The 14,944-nt window shown below is 38.7% G+C and overlaps 1 protein-coding gene across 11 annotated transcripts in view; it reads right to left on the bottom strand.

Moving 5' to 3' along the window:
* Nucleotides 1-14,944, bottom strand: part of RALGAPB (Ral GTPase activating protein non-catalytic subunit beta) — a 106,016-nt gene that overhangs the window by 64,795 nt on the left and 26,277 nt on the right. For all 11 annotated transcript variants that reach the window (NM_020336.4, NM_001282918.2, NM_001282917.2 and 8 more), the window contains 2 exons: nt 14,431-14,617; nt 4,856-4,987 (listed from right to left, as the gene is read on the bottom strand). In NM_020336.4, the coding sequence (NP_065069.1) occupies nt 4,856-4,987; nt 14,431-14,617 (319 nt within the window). The remainder of the gene's footprint in view (nt 1-4,855; nt 4,988-14,430; nt 14,618-14,944) is intronic.

Below are 14,944 nucleotides of genomic sequence, written 5' to 3'. Positions count from 1 at the left end.
CAAAATAACTCTGACTAAAGTACCACAGTCAGCTCAAGAAGAAAGACTATCTAAGTACTACCTCTAAAAAAGACTCGACTAGAGTTTTACTGTTCATTTATTTCAAACTCTTAAGGAACACAAAACTTTGACACAACAGACCATAAAAAAGGACAGAAAGTTTTCCTATCCAATTCATGAAAAGATAGAACTACAGACAATTCAGAAAAACATTAAAAGAAAAGCATTCCATAACCAAGCAAAACTTTTCTTTCAGGAATGATAGATGGTTCAACATTGGGAAATTAATTAATATTTCACATCAACAGATGAAAGAAGAAAAACCACTTAATTGCTTAAATGGATCCAAAAATATTATTCGAAACAATTCGGTACTATAGTTTATTTATATTTTAATTTAATTTTTTTTTTTTTTTTGAGACAGTCTTGCTCTGTTGCCCAGGCTAGAGTACAGTGGTATGATCTTGGCTCACTGCAACTCTGCCTCCCGGGTTCAAGCAATCCCTGTGCTTCAGCCTCCTGAGTAGCTAGGATTACAGGTGCACCACTATACTCAGCTAATTTGTTTTTTGCTTCCCCCCCACCCCCCACCGCCGCCGCTCTGTCGCCCGGGCTGGAGTGCAACCTCTGCTTCCCGGTTCAAGCGATTCTCCTGCCTCAGCCTCCCAAGTAGCTGGGATTACAGGCATGTGCCACCACACCCAGCTAATTTTTGTATTTTTAGTAGAGACAGGGTTTCACCATGTTGGCCAGGCTGGTCTCGAACTCCTGACTTCAAGGGATCCGCCCACCTTGGCCTCCCAAAGTGTTGGGATTACAGGCGTGAGCCACCACGCCCAGCCCATTTTTTGTATTTTTAGTAGAGACAGGGTTTCACCATGTTGCCCAGGCTGGTCTCGAACTCCTAAGCTTGGGTGATCTACCCGCGTTGGCCTCCAAAAGTGCTATTATTATAGGCGTGAGCCACCGTGCCTGGCCTATATTTTTAAAAATTTTTAATTGCTGGCCGGGCGTGGTGGCTCAAGCCTGTAATCCTAGCACTTTGAGAGGCCGAGGCAGGCGGATCATGAGGTCAAGAGATCAAGACCATCCTGGCTAACATGGTGAAACCCCGTCTCTACTAAAAAATACAAAAAATTAGTCAGGCATGGTGGTGGGCGCCTGTAGTCCCAGCTACTCAGGAGGCTGAGGCAGAAGAATGGCGTGAACCCAGGAGGCGGAACTTGCAGTGAGCAGAGATTGCGCCACTGCACTCCAGCCTGGGTGACAGAGCGAGACTCCATCTCAAAAAATAAATAAATAAAAATAAATAAAATTTTTAACTGCTTAGGAAACCAGGAGCATAAAAAAGAACATCTAATATCAACAACCAACATCCTACTCAAAATTCCATATATCAGAGGCATTCCGATGAAAATCAGACCAAAAAAGGTGCCAAAACAGTATCACTTTAATTCAACAGTGTTCTACTTCTGATGGATGCAGTAAAATAATATACAGAAATAACTGTAATAATAGCAACTTTCAAGCACCTACCATGCACTAGGCATCATGCCGTTTTACATGCTTTTTCTTCTTCAATACTTATAACGAGATGGTACTATCATTATTCCCATTATGTAGATTAAAAAGAAACTGAGGCACAGAGAGAATAAATTGCTCAAGTTCACAAAGAAAAAACTAGCAGAATTTAAGTCAGGTCCAAGTCTTACTGCATCCGAAGTACTTTTAATTAGTCACCAAAACAAGTATGAATTATTAGAAAAGAGACACTTCTTATTTGCAGATATGTGCCCATATCTCAGAAGAATCAGTGAAATATTCAGAGCTCTTTTAAATGCTATATATAATATGCAAAATAACATGCAGTAAAAAATGTTCTTTACAGCAGTAATAACCATCTAGAAGACAGAATAGCAGAAAAGAGTTAGCTTTTCAAAACATCAGCAACAAATACCTAGAAATAATGGTAAAGAAAATATTAAAAATCTTTGTGAAGAAAACTGTAAAACATTTCAAGAAGATACGCAAAATTCTAAAAAAAGAAAAAGACATGCTCTTAGAAAGGCAGACTCGCCAGCTGCCCCGTCCGGGAGGTGGGGGGCAGCCCCCGCCCGGCCGCCGCCCTGTCTGGGAGGTGGGGGGCGCCTCTGCCCGGCCGCCCCGTCTGGGAAGTGAGCAGCCCCTCTGCCCGGCCGCCACCCCGTCTAGGAGGTGTACCCAACAGCTCATTGAGAACGGGCCATGATGATGATGGCGGTTTTGTCGAATAGAAAAGCGGGAAATGTGGGGAAAAGAAAGAGAGATCAGATGTTACTGTGTCTGTGTAGAAAGAAGTAGACATAGGAGACTCCATTTTGTTCTGTACTAAGAAAAATTCTTCTGCCTTGGGATGCTGTTAATTTATAACCTTACCCCCAACCCCGTGCTCTCTAAAACATGTGCTGTGTCAACTCAGGGTTAAATGGATTAATGGCGGTGCAAGATGTGCTTTGTTAAACAGATGCTTGAAGGCAGCATACCCGTTAAGAGTCATCACCACTCCCTAATCTCAAGTACCCAGGGACACAAACACTGCGGAAGGCGGCAGGGCCCTCTGCCTAGGAAAACCAGAGACCTTTGTTCACATGTTTATCTGCTGACCTTCCCTCCACTATTGTCCTATGACCCTGCCAAATCCCCCTCTCCGAGAAACACCCAAGAATGATCAATAAATACTAAAAAAATTAAAAAAAAAAAAAAGAAAGGCAGACTCAATATCAGATATCAGCGTTTCCTAAATATAAATACAAGCTTAATACAATTCTCATCTTCGGCAGAGTCTGGCTAGCTGTTCACCACTTTCTCTTTTCTTCTCTGTTCTCTTGCAATTAAGTGTGGTGTGTGTCTGAGTTGTGGCTAATGGAATATGAGTAACAGTGATTTATATTACTTCAAGGCCTGACACATAAAACCCTCCCACAAAATTTTCCTTGCTCTCTGTTCCCCATCTGCTAGCCAGATACGAGAATCCTGCTTATAACACTGAGGCCCTAATGGAGTCATCTGTTGAAGATGAAAGAGCCTCTGCCAGCTGGGTCTCTGAACGACTATGTGAGCAGAGCCAGTCCTGACTCCAGACTTTATAAAAGATTTTCTTTTTTTTTTTTTTTTTGAGACGGAGTCTCGCTCTGTCGCCCAGGCTGGAGTGCAGTGGCGCAATCTCGGCTCACTGCAAGCTCCGCCTCCCGGGTTCACCCCATTCTCCTGCCTCAGCCTCCCAAGTAGCTGGGACTACAGGCGCCCGCCACTACGCCCGGCTAATTTTTTGTATTTTTAGTAGAGACGGGGTTTCACCGTTTTAGCCGGGATGGTCTCGATCTCCTGACCTCGTGATCCGCCCGCCTCGGCCTCCCAAAGTGCTGGGATTACAGGCGTGAGCCACCGCGCCCGGCCCTATAAAAGATTTTCAAGTTCATTTGCTAAAGCAGCACATATTCCTTACCCTAAATAATACACAATCCAAACCCCAGAAGGTTTCGTTGAGGTTTTTCCTTCTGTTTGCTTATGTTTTGTAACTTGAAAAATTGGTTCTAAAATTGATCTGAAATGTTAAACAGGCAAGAAGAGATAAATATTCTAAGAGAAGGAAAAAGAGAAAAAGACATTAGACCTACTAAATATCAGTAAATATTATAAAGTTAAAATAAGAGTGTGAATCTGATATAAAAACAAATGAATTTAATGCAGTAATATGTGAACTAAAGACAAATTCCAGGCTGGGTGCGGTGGCTCGATGCTTGTAACCCTAGCACTTTGGGAGGCTGAAGTGGGTGGATTGCTTAAGTCCAGGAGTTTGAGACCGCCTGGGCAACGTAGGAAGACCCCATCTCTGCAAATTACATGCATGCGTGTGTCTGTGTGTGTGTGTGTGTGTGTGTGTGTGTGTGTGTATGTGCGTGTGTGTGTTTATATACATATAAAGACAGATCCTGAGGTATATAAAAGAACTTACTATTACAAAGGAAACAACATTGGAAGAAATCATAGGTGACTATCTGATCAAAGAACACAAAGGAAATAGAAAATGATCACAGAAAGACATTTAAAAACTAAGATCACTGACAGCTGAAAAACACAAACTGTAACTACAAAATGGGAAGAAATGATAAAAAAAGATTAACATACCTAACTTATAAAAAGGTCATAAAGAGTAATTCAGAATCACTGATACACAAAATAGAAAAATTAGGCTAGTTAAACCAGAAAGAGAAGATATGCAAGGAAAAAATTTAAGAATCAGTTTACAACAGAATAAATGTTCTACAGAGCACACAGATGGGGCTGGAAGAGGGACAAGTAAAAAGTGATGAAGCTGAACTGAAGAGAATTACTATATAAAAGACAGGGACAGCAGGAAGTAGCAGTATACCCCTCTGTGAAATTTTAGGGTGTATCTCCCATTGAAACTTTAAACAGGCTATTGGAGGAGGGCTCTGAGAGGCAGACTGACCAGTCAGTGCTGGGCACAGAGAGGAGCAAGGCAACCTCCAGTCCCCACAGAATGTGACAAAATCCCAAGAGAAAGATCATCAGCCTGGCTGCAGTAACAGGCAAGAGAACAAGTGCGGCATCTACCACAGGGAACGCGTTCCTAGAGCGTGTAAACCAAGAGCGGCTGAGGACAGCCTAACCCTGCTGGGACGGGGAGAGCAGGAGGCACAGGACAGAAATGTGCTTGTTGTCCAGCTGGATTCCATTTGATGAATGGGGCTTAGTGTCCACCTTCTGAATTCAAACAAGAGACTTACAGCATGATTCCTGCCCTAAGATACTTACTAGGTAAATGGCACATGAAATAATAAAATAACAATACCTTAACATGTGTAAAAAGCGAAACCATGTCTGTGCAACACACTCATTATCCATTTCTGGAGGGATCAGACTGGCATCTTCATCGGGAACTTTAAATGCAGGAAATGAAGGACCATATGTAAAGCGTAGCAATCTAGAAAATAAATGCACACCACTGAGTCCATTTCTTAACAGATTGAAAAATACACTCAAGCATAGAAAGAAGACAGAGAAAATGGATGAAACATGTGTACCTCACATACGTGAACAAGACATATGGAAACCCTCATTTATAAAACAGACAAACTGAAAGAGGATTTCTAGTTTTTTTATGTTTGGGATGATGGATATGCTAATTACTCTGATCAATCACTACACATTTTTTATATATATATCAAAACATCATTATGTACTCCACAAATATGTACAACTATTATGCGTTCATTAAAAAGAAGTTTTACATTGAAAACAAATTGGAGACTTTCAAGATGATTTCTAATGGAAAGAAGCTGGGAAGAAGAGTATATGCTGTTGTATATATTTTATATGTAATACACGTGTTGTTATCAGCATCTTCTTTACAAGATACATGAGTTTTTGGGTAAAATAAACAAGTATACCAAAAAAAGAGTGTTTTAAATTATTTAAGATACTTAAATAATTTAAAATAATTAGTATTAAAATACTGTTACTTCCTGCTGTCCCTATCTTTTATATAGTAATTCTCTTCAGTTCAGCTTCATCACTTTTTACTTGTCCCTCTTCCAGGCCCATCCATGTGCTCTGTGGGACATTTATTCTGTTGTAAACTGATTCTTAAAGTTTTTCCTTGCATCTCTTCTCTTTCTGGTTTGACTAGCCTAATTTTTCTACTTGTGTATCAGTGATTCTGAATTATTCTTTATGACCTTTTTATAGGTTAGGTATGTTAATCATTTTTTATCATTTCTTCCCATTTTGTAGTTATAGTTTGTGTTTTTCAGCTGTCAGTGATCTTAGTTTTTAAATGTCTTTCTGTGACATTTATATGTTTATATGTAATATGTTTGACATATACACATTGCATATTACTTATAAATTATAGCTATTTATATATGTAATTATACTTATATAATTATATAATCATACAATATGTAAATTTTTTAAAAGATTCATCTCACTGCAAATTTCTGCCATATAACTAAGTTATAATAGTTTTACATGAAGTTTAGAATTTATGACATACCATAAAAATAACTCAACAACTTAATTACTTAATATTCTAAATGTATTAAAACTATTCAAAGCCCTTTAACTCAATTATTCTCTACCTAGAGATAATATTCTCACATATAAAGACTATGTATAAAGCATTCATATCACCAATATTTTTAAAATAAAACAATGGGAACAACATAAATATCAAAACAGCAGGGGAAGATGGGAGGATTGCTTGAGGTCAGGAGTTCGAGGCTACAATGAGCCATGACTGCGCCACTGCACTCCACCCTGGGCAACAGAGCAAGACCATATCTCAAAAAAAAAAGAAAAACAAAAACAAAAAAACAACGCTGGCATAGTGGCTCACGCCTGCACTCCAATCCCAGCACTCTGGGAGGCCAAGTCTAGTGGATCACTTGAGTCCAGGAGCTTGAGTCCTGCCTGCCTGGGCGATATGCAAAACCTCATCTTTACAAAAAATACAAAAATTAGCTGGGCGTGGTGGCATGAACCTGTAGCTCCCAGCTGCCATGGGAGGCTGAGGTGAGAGGATTGTTTGAGCCTGGGGAGGTTGAGGCTGCTATGAGTCCTGATCATACCACTGTACTCCAGCCTGGGCAACAAAGCAAGACCCTGCCTCAAAAAAACAAAAATAACAACAACAATAACAAGGAAATTATTAAATGAATTATAATTCCAATTATATAATGGAAAACTACAAAACCATTAAAAATATGATCTCAACAGCTATTTAATGAGAAAAAGTTTGTGTAACTAAAGTGACAAGAATCAGACATCAAATGAAAAAAGTAGATAATATTATATAGAATAATTTCAAACTGGCATTTTTAAAAAGGGAACTAAATGGAAAAAATACATTAAAATGTTAACATGGGTTGGCTCTGAATGATAGGTATCTGTCCCTACATTTTCCAAATTTTCTATTATAAGCATGTACTGTGATTATAATCAAGATAAAAGCATTACTTAAAAACAGATTCATAATTTTTTTAAAGCAATCATCCTGCCTCAGCCTCCCAAAGTGCTGGGATTACAGGTGTGAGCCACCGCTCATGGCTAGATTCATAATATTCATGTTCTCTGTGATATACTAGAATTAACAAAATATTCCAAAGCTTCATTTTTTAGTTTAAATAATAATAAAGATCTAAACATTAACTCAGAAAAAGAGAAGTCTACCTTCTGATACATAACACTACCTATAAAGTTTTTGTTCCTGTCACCCCCTCTCTTTGCCCCCTATCAAACCTGAATGAGATCAAGTCTCTAGATCTAACTACCAGTTTATAGGAAATACAGCGGGGCAGAGGAATATAGTAATTAACAATGTGGACAAATCCAAAATGTGAAACACTCTGTAAGACAACCCAGTTTCTTCAACAAAAAAATTGCAAAGAAAAATAAAGCAGAAACCTAGGCCAGGCGTGGTCACTCAGGCCTGTAATACCAGAACTTTGGGAGGCCAAGGCAGGAGGACTGCTCGAGCCCAGGAGTTCAAGGCCAGCCTGGACAACATGGAGGAACCCCATCTTGACCAAAAATATAAAAATTAGCCAAGCATGGTGGTGCACGCCTGCAGTTCCAGCTACTCAGGTGGCTGAGGCAGGAGGATCACTTGAGCCTAAGAGATTAAGGCTGCAGTAAGCTGTGATTGCACCACTGCATTCCAGCCTGGGTGACAGAGTAAGAAACCCTGTCAAAAAAAAAAAGGAAAGAAAAAAGCAGGAACCTATACAGTTGTCCTTCAGAATTATAGGGGATTGACGCAGAACACCCCTCAGATGCCAAAATCCACGGATGCTCAAGCCCCCTTACATAAAATAATTTAGTATTTGCATATAACCTACACACATCTTCCTATATACTTTAAATCGTCTCAAGATTACTTATAATACCTAATACAATGCATACACATCCCTTCATTTGCACAGATTCGATGCAGTACTCAGGCAGTAGAAGGCAAATTCAATTTTTACTCTTTGGAATTTTGTGAAATTTTTTGCCAAATATTTTTGATCTCTGACTGGCTGTGTCCATGGATACAGAACCCACAGAGGGTCAATTGTACCTGGAAATTTGAACACTGACTAGCTAACCGGTATTAAAGAATTGTCAACTTTTTTGGGTGTGATAAGGGTATTATATTTTTTAAAGAACCCTTATCTATATCTAGAGTTATACGGGTATAACTTCGAGATCTTGCAGGTTCAGTTTCACACTACCCTAATAAAACAAACATTGCAAAAAGCAAGGCATGCACGTTTTTTTGGTTTCTCAATGCATATAAAAGTTATGTTTGGACTATACTGTAGTCGATTAAGTATGCAATAGGATTATATGTTTAAAAATCAATGCACATCCTTAATTTAAAAATATTAATATTTTACTGCTGAAAGATGCTAATAATTTATCTGTGCCTTCACCAAGTCATAATCCTTTCCCTTTTTAAAATTTTCCAACTTTAATTTTAGATTCAGGAGGTACATGTGCAGGTTATCTGGGTATACTGCATGATGCTGAGGCTTGGGGTACAAATGATCCCATCATCTGGACTTTTCAACACTGCTCCTCTTCCCCCACCAGCAGTCCTCAGTTTCTAATGTTGTCATCTTTATGTCCATGAGTTTTATGTCCAATGTTTAGCACCCACTTATAAGTAAGAACATGTGATACTTGGTTTTCTGTTCCTGTGTTAATTCACTTAGGATAATGGCTTCAAGCTGCATCCATGTTGCTACAAAGGACACAATTAATTCTTTTTCATGGCTGCATAGTATTCCATGGTGCATATGTGCCACATTTTCTTTACCCAGTCTACCACCGACGGGCATCTAGGCTGATTCCATGTCTTTGCTATTGTGAATCGTGCTGCAATATATAAAAGTGCATGTGTCTTTTCGGTAGAACAATTTGTTTTCTTTTGGATATATACCCAGCAATGGGATAGCTGGGTTGAATGGTAGTCGTATTTTAAGTTCTTTGAGAAATCTCCCAACTGCTTTCCACAGTAGCTGGAACTAATTTACATTCCCACCAGCAGAGTATAAGCATTCCCTTTTCCCTGCAGTCTTGCCAGCATCTACTGTTTTTTTGACTTTTTAATAATACCCATTCTGCCTGGTGTGAGATGGTATCTCATTGTGGTTTTGATTTGCATTTGTTTGATGATTAGTAATGTGGAGCATTTTTTCATATGTTTCTTGGCCACTTATATGTCTTCTTTTGATAAGTGTCTGTTCATGTCTTTTGCCTGTTTTTTAACGGGGTTGTTTTTTGCTTGTTCAATTGCTTTAAGTTCCTTATAGATTCTGGATATTAGATCTCTGTCAGATGTATAATTTGTGAATATTTTCTCCCATTCTGTAGGTTTTCCATTTACTCTGTTGATAGTTTCTTTTACTGTGCAAACTCTTTAGTTTAATTAGGTACCACTTGTCGATTGTTTTTGTTGCAATTACTTTTGAGGACTGAGTCATAAATTCCTTCCCAAGGCAAATGTCCATAATAGTGTTTCCTAGGTTTTCTTCTAGTATTCTTATAGCTTGAGGTATTACATTTAAATCTTTAATCCATCTTGAGTTAATTTTTGTATATGGTGAAAGGTAGGAGTCTAGTTTCATTCTTCTGCATATGGTTAGCCAGTTATCCCTGCACTATTTATTGAATAGAGAGTCCTTTCCCCATTGCTTGTTTTTATTGACTCTGTCAAAAATCAGATGGCTGTAGTTATGCAGCTTTACTTCTGGGTTCTCTATTCTGTTCCATTAGTTTATATATCTGTTTTTGTACCAGTACCATGCTGTTTTGGTGACTGTAGCCCTCTAGTATAGTTTCAAGGTGGGTAATGTGAAGCCTCCAGCTTTGTTCTTTTTGCTTAGGATTTGCTTTGGCTATTAGAGCTCTTTTTTGGTTGCAATATGAATTTTAGAATAGGTTTTTTCCTAGTTATGTGAAAAAATGGCACTGGTAGTTTGACAGGAATAGTGTTGAATCTGTAGATTGCTATGGGCAGTATGGCCATTTTAATGATTTTGATTCTTCTAATCCATGAACATGGAATGTTTTTCCATTTGTTTGCGTCATCTAGAGTCATCTTTTCACTGGTGGAGGGTATTGCCTCATTGATGGCTGCAGACTGATCAGGAAGGTGACTGCTGAAGGTTGGGGTGGCTGTGGCAGTTTTTAAAAATAAGACAACAATGAGGTGTGCCACATGGACTGACTCTTCTTTTCACAAAAAATTTATCTGTGGCATGCAATGCCATTTCATAGCATTTTACCCATAGTAGAACTTCTTTCAAAATCGGAGTCAATCCTCTCAAACTCTGCCATTACTTTACCAATTAAGCTTATGTAATATTCTAAATACTTTGCTGTCATTTCAACAATGTTCATGGCATCTATACCAGGAGTAGATTCCACCTCAGGAAACTCTTTGCTCATCCATAAGACTCCTCACCATTAGTTTTATCATGACATTGCAGCAATTAGTCATCTCTTTGGGCTATACTTCTAATTTGTAGTTCTCTTGCTACTTCTCCACCTCATCTGCAGTGACTTCTTCCACTGAAGCTTTGAACCCCTCAGAGTCATTCATTAGGGTTGGAATCAACTTCTTCCAAACTCCTGTTAATGTTGATATGGTAGCTATAACCTTACAGAATGTACAGTTGACCCCTGAACAATAGGGACTAGAGGTGCTGGCCCCTCATACAGTTGAAAAATCTATGTATAATGTTTGACTCCCTCAAAACTTAACTACTAATAGCCTACTTCTAATCAGAAGCCTTACCAATAACAAATAACTAATACATATTTTGTATGTGTATTATATATGGTATTCTTACAATAAAGAAAGCTAAATAAAATGTTATTAAGAAAATCATAAGGAAAATCAGATGCAGCAGCACACCCATAGTCCCAGACACTTGTAGGCTTGAAGCAGAAGATATTGTGTTGGTACAAAAGTAATTAAAATATGGCAAAAGCCGCAATTACTTTTGCACCAATCTAAACAGCTTGCGCCCAGGAGGTGTGAATAGCCATTATACTCTAGCCTGGGCAACACAGCAAGACCCCCTCTTTAAAAAAAATCATAAAAAAGGGCCAGGCGCAGTGGCTCATGCCTGTAATCCCAGCACTTTGGAAGGCAGAGGTGGGGCGGCTCACATGAGGCCTGGAGTTAGAGACCAGCTTGGCCAACATGGAGAATCCCTGACTCTACTAAAAATACTAAAAAATTAGCTGGGCATGGTGGCTCACGCCTGTAATCCCAGCTACTGGGGAGGCTGAGGCACGAGAATCACTTGAGCATGGGAGGCAGAGGCTGCAATGAGGCAGAGGTTGCAGTGAGCTGAGATCGCACCACTGCACTCCAGACTAGGTGAAAAAGTGAGACTGTCTCAAACAAAAAAAAATCATATAAAAGAGAAAACACATTTACATTTACAGCACTGTACTGTGTTTATTGATACCATAAGTTTATGTCATCTGTTTACAAAGTCAATTGTCTGCCTGAACTGGCAGGTGACCACAGCTGCAGACCTCAAACAACAGAACGTATCAAGCAATTCAACTTTTTCTTGTAATGTCATGAGTTTTCTCTGCTTCTTGGGAGCACTTCCAGCACCACTGGTGGCACTTCCTATGGGTCTCATGGTATTACTTATTCCAGGTTTACAGTATTGTAAATTAAATATGACGAAAAATAAATGAAAACTGAGACATCACTTTTTACTGAGATACACTATTTACTGAAGAGATTAACTGCTCAAGCAGAGATGATTAGTGTCACATGGAGTTTTCAGTGAATATTCACAACACCTGAGCTCATTGCAATAGCAACAGGAAGTGGCTACAAAATTATTACAGTAGTACAGTATGTACCAGAGTTAATTTTATGCAATTATGATTTAATACTGCAGCTTTTATGTTTGTTTACATTTCTTTACCTATTGTTTACATTACTGCAAATGGTATCATGTATATAGTCTATAAGCATTTGTATGCATAAGTTTTAATAAATTTTAATTTAGTATAATACATTTGTGTGTATTTTATGGTAGTAAATGATACAAGACTAGCATGTACATATATTTTATGCCTACGACATACCTAATTTTTTCTTAATTTTTTCAATATTTCTAGGATACACGGTTCATTTGCACATTTTTTCAAATTGTCTCAAATTTCAAAAAAAATTTTCCACTATTTTTAATTGAGAAAAATCTACATGTAAGTGGACCCACACAGTTCAAATACATGTTGTTCAATGGTCAGCTGTATTTCTTAAGATTTGAAAGTCACGCTGGGCACAGTGGCTCATGCCTGTAATCCAAGCACTTTGGGAGGCTGAGATGGGTGGATTGTTTTGAGACTAGGAGTTGGAGACCAGACTGGCCAACATGGTGAAACCCCCACCTCTACTAAAAATACAAAAACTAGCAGGACATGTTGGCACACCTCTGTAATCCCAGTTATTCGGGAGGCTAAGGCACAAGAATCACTTGAACCTGGGAGGTGTGTTCTACAGGCGCAAGCCACCACACCTGGCTATTTTTTGTAGAGATGGGCTTTTGCCAAGTTGCCCAGAGTGGTCTCAAACTCCTGAGCTCAACTAATCTGCCCACCTCGTACTCCCAAAGTGCTGGGATTACAGGTGTGAGCCACTGCACACAGCCAGAATAAATTTAACATCATTCTTAGTATATAGGCTGCCAAGGCAAGCGCAAATTTAACATTATTCTTAAGGGCCCTAGGATATTCCAAATGGTAAATGAGCACTGGCTTCAGCTTGCCAGGCACTGACTTCTCCTCTCTAGCTATAGAAGTCCTAGATGGTGTCTTCTTCCAATACAAGACTGTTTAATGCACACTGAAAATCTGTTGTTTAGTGAGGCCACCTTCGTCAATGATCTTAGCTAGATCATCTGGATCACTTGCTGCAGCTTCTCCATCACACTTGCTGCTTCAGCTTGCACTTTCACGTTATAGACATGGCTTCTTTCCTTAAACCTCATGAACCAACCTCGGCCTCTTCCTAAGCTTTCTTCTACAGCTTCCTCACCTCTCGCAGCCTTCATAGAACTGAAGACAGTTAGGCCTTGCTCTGGATCACGCTTTGGCTTAAGAAAATGTTGTGACTGGTTTGATCTCCTATCTAGCCCACTCAAACTTTCTCCATATCATAAATAAGCCTGTTTTGCTTTCTTATCATTCCTGTGTTCAGTGGTGTAGCATGTTTAATTTCCTTCAAGAACTTTACCTTTGCATTCACACCTTGGCTAACCATTTGGTGCAAGAGGCCTAGCTTTCAGCCTGTTTTGGCTTTCAACACACCTTCCTAATTAAACTTAATCATTTCTAGCTTTTGATTTAAAGTGAGAGACATCCAACTATTCCTTTCACTCGACCACTTTGAGGCCATTATAGAGTTACTAATTGGCCTAATTTCAGTATCATTGTGTCTCAAGAGTGGGAAAGAGACGGAAAACAGCTGGTCAGTGGAGCTGTCAGAACACAAACAACATTGATCAGTTAAGTTCACCATTTTATATAGGTGTAGTACGTGGCACTCTAAAACAATTACAATGGTAATATTAAAGATCACTGATCACAGGTCACCATAACAGTAAAAGTTTGAAATACGCAAGAATTACCAACATATGACAGAGGCACAAAGTGAGCATATGCTGTTGGAAAAATGGCACCCGACAGACTCGCTTGATGCAGGGTTGCCACAACCCTTCAATTTGGAAAAAAAAAAAAACATGGTATCCGTGAAGCTCAATACAGTCAAGTGCAATAAAACAAGGTATGCTTGCATATTAAAATCACGATTGAAATGAAAAAATAAGTCTGAAAAAAATGAACCTAAGAGTGTACTTATAAAACAGCGATGGTATTAAATATAAATGGCAAAAAGGTAAAATTATTATTATAAAAAAACTGCCTACTTTGGTTATAAAGTAGCATGTATAATATGGTCCCATTCCTGTAAAATTATATATAAATATACATGGTAGGATTTCAGGAGAACTTTTCTATTATATCTTTCTATGGTTTGTTTCTTTAAAATAATGATTAGGCATATTTTAATGATCATGCATATTTTAATGATCAAAATAAGAGTGGAATTTTTTTGTGGGGGAAGTAGGGTATAAAATTTATCTGTTTCTCAAGAATACTTGATTATTCTGAAATGTTTTAAACAGGCACTAGCCAAACTGTTATATCTATATTTAAAAAGTGGCTCAATTCTGTATCTAAAGTACAGTAATAACAGACCCAGCCTTTGTTATAATGTATTCCATGAATGCCAGAAAGCTGCCTAAGGTCAGACAGGTGAAGGAAGGCAGGGCAATGACAATAACCTACCTGGAAGTGAGTGCACAAATGACCTTGCTCCACTGCTCCACCACTGCTGGGTGATGCCTCCAGTTAGCCACCATCTCCTTGGCTGTTTTCCAATAAGGAGGTGTTGGGAAGCACCGAGTACAAGCTAGTAACCACACCTCAAAGAGAACACCAATCAACTTCTCTGCTAGATTCTCAGCAATGCCACCTTACCAACAAAAAGAAAACACATCTTTGGCAAACTTATTTTTAAAGCAGAATCTTTAAGACACTGATTTGGGAGAACTGGTCAAAAAATTAAAATAAGTGCAATATTAAGTTTTGACTTTCAAATAATCATTTAATAGTAAAAATGAGAAGCAATTCTTAGGAGTTCCTGTACCCAAAATCACAGACACATCAAAAAATTTTTACTTTGAAAGATTTCAAGTTGCCCTGTTCAGTTCTTATTGAAGGCCTTAATCCTCCAGCAAGGGGGACAGAGGGACACAGGGGAGAAGGAAAAGGATGACTGCCTATGATGACTGACTACTAT

Source organism: Homo sapiens, chromosome 20 (genome assembly GCF_000001405.40).
Source record: "Homo sapiens chromosome 20, GRCh38.p14 Primary Assembly".
Taxonomy (NCBI): domain Eukaryota; kingdom Metazoa; phylum Chordata; class Mammalia; order Primates; family Hominidae; genus Homo; species Homo sapiens.
The sequence above is the reverse complement of the archived record's forward strand: the minus strand, read 5'-3'. Positions and strand labels throughout refer to the sequence as shown.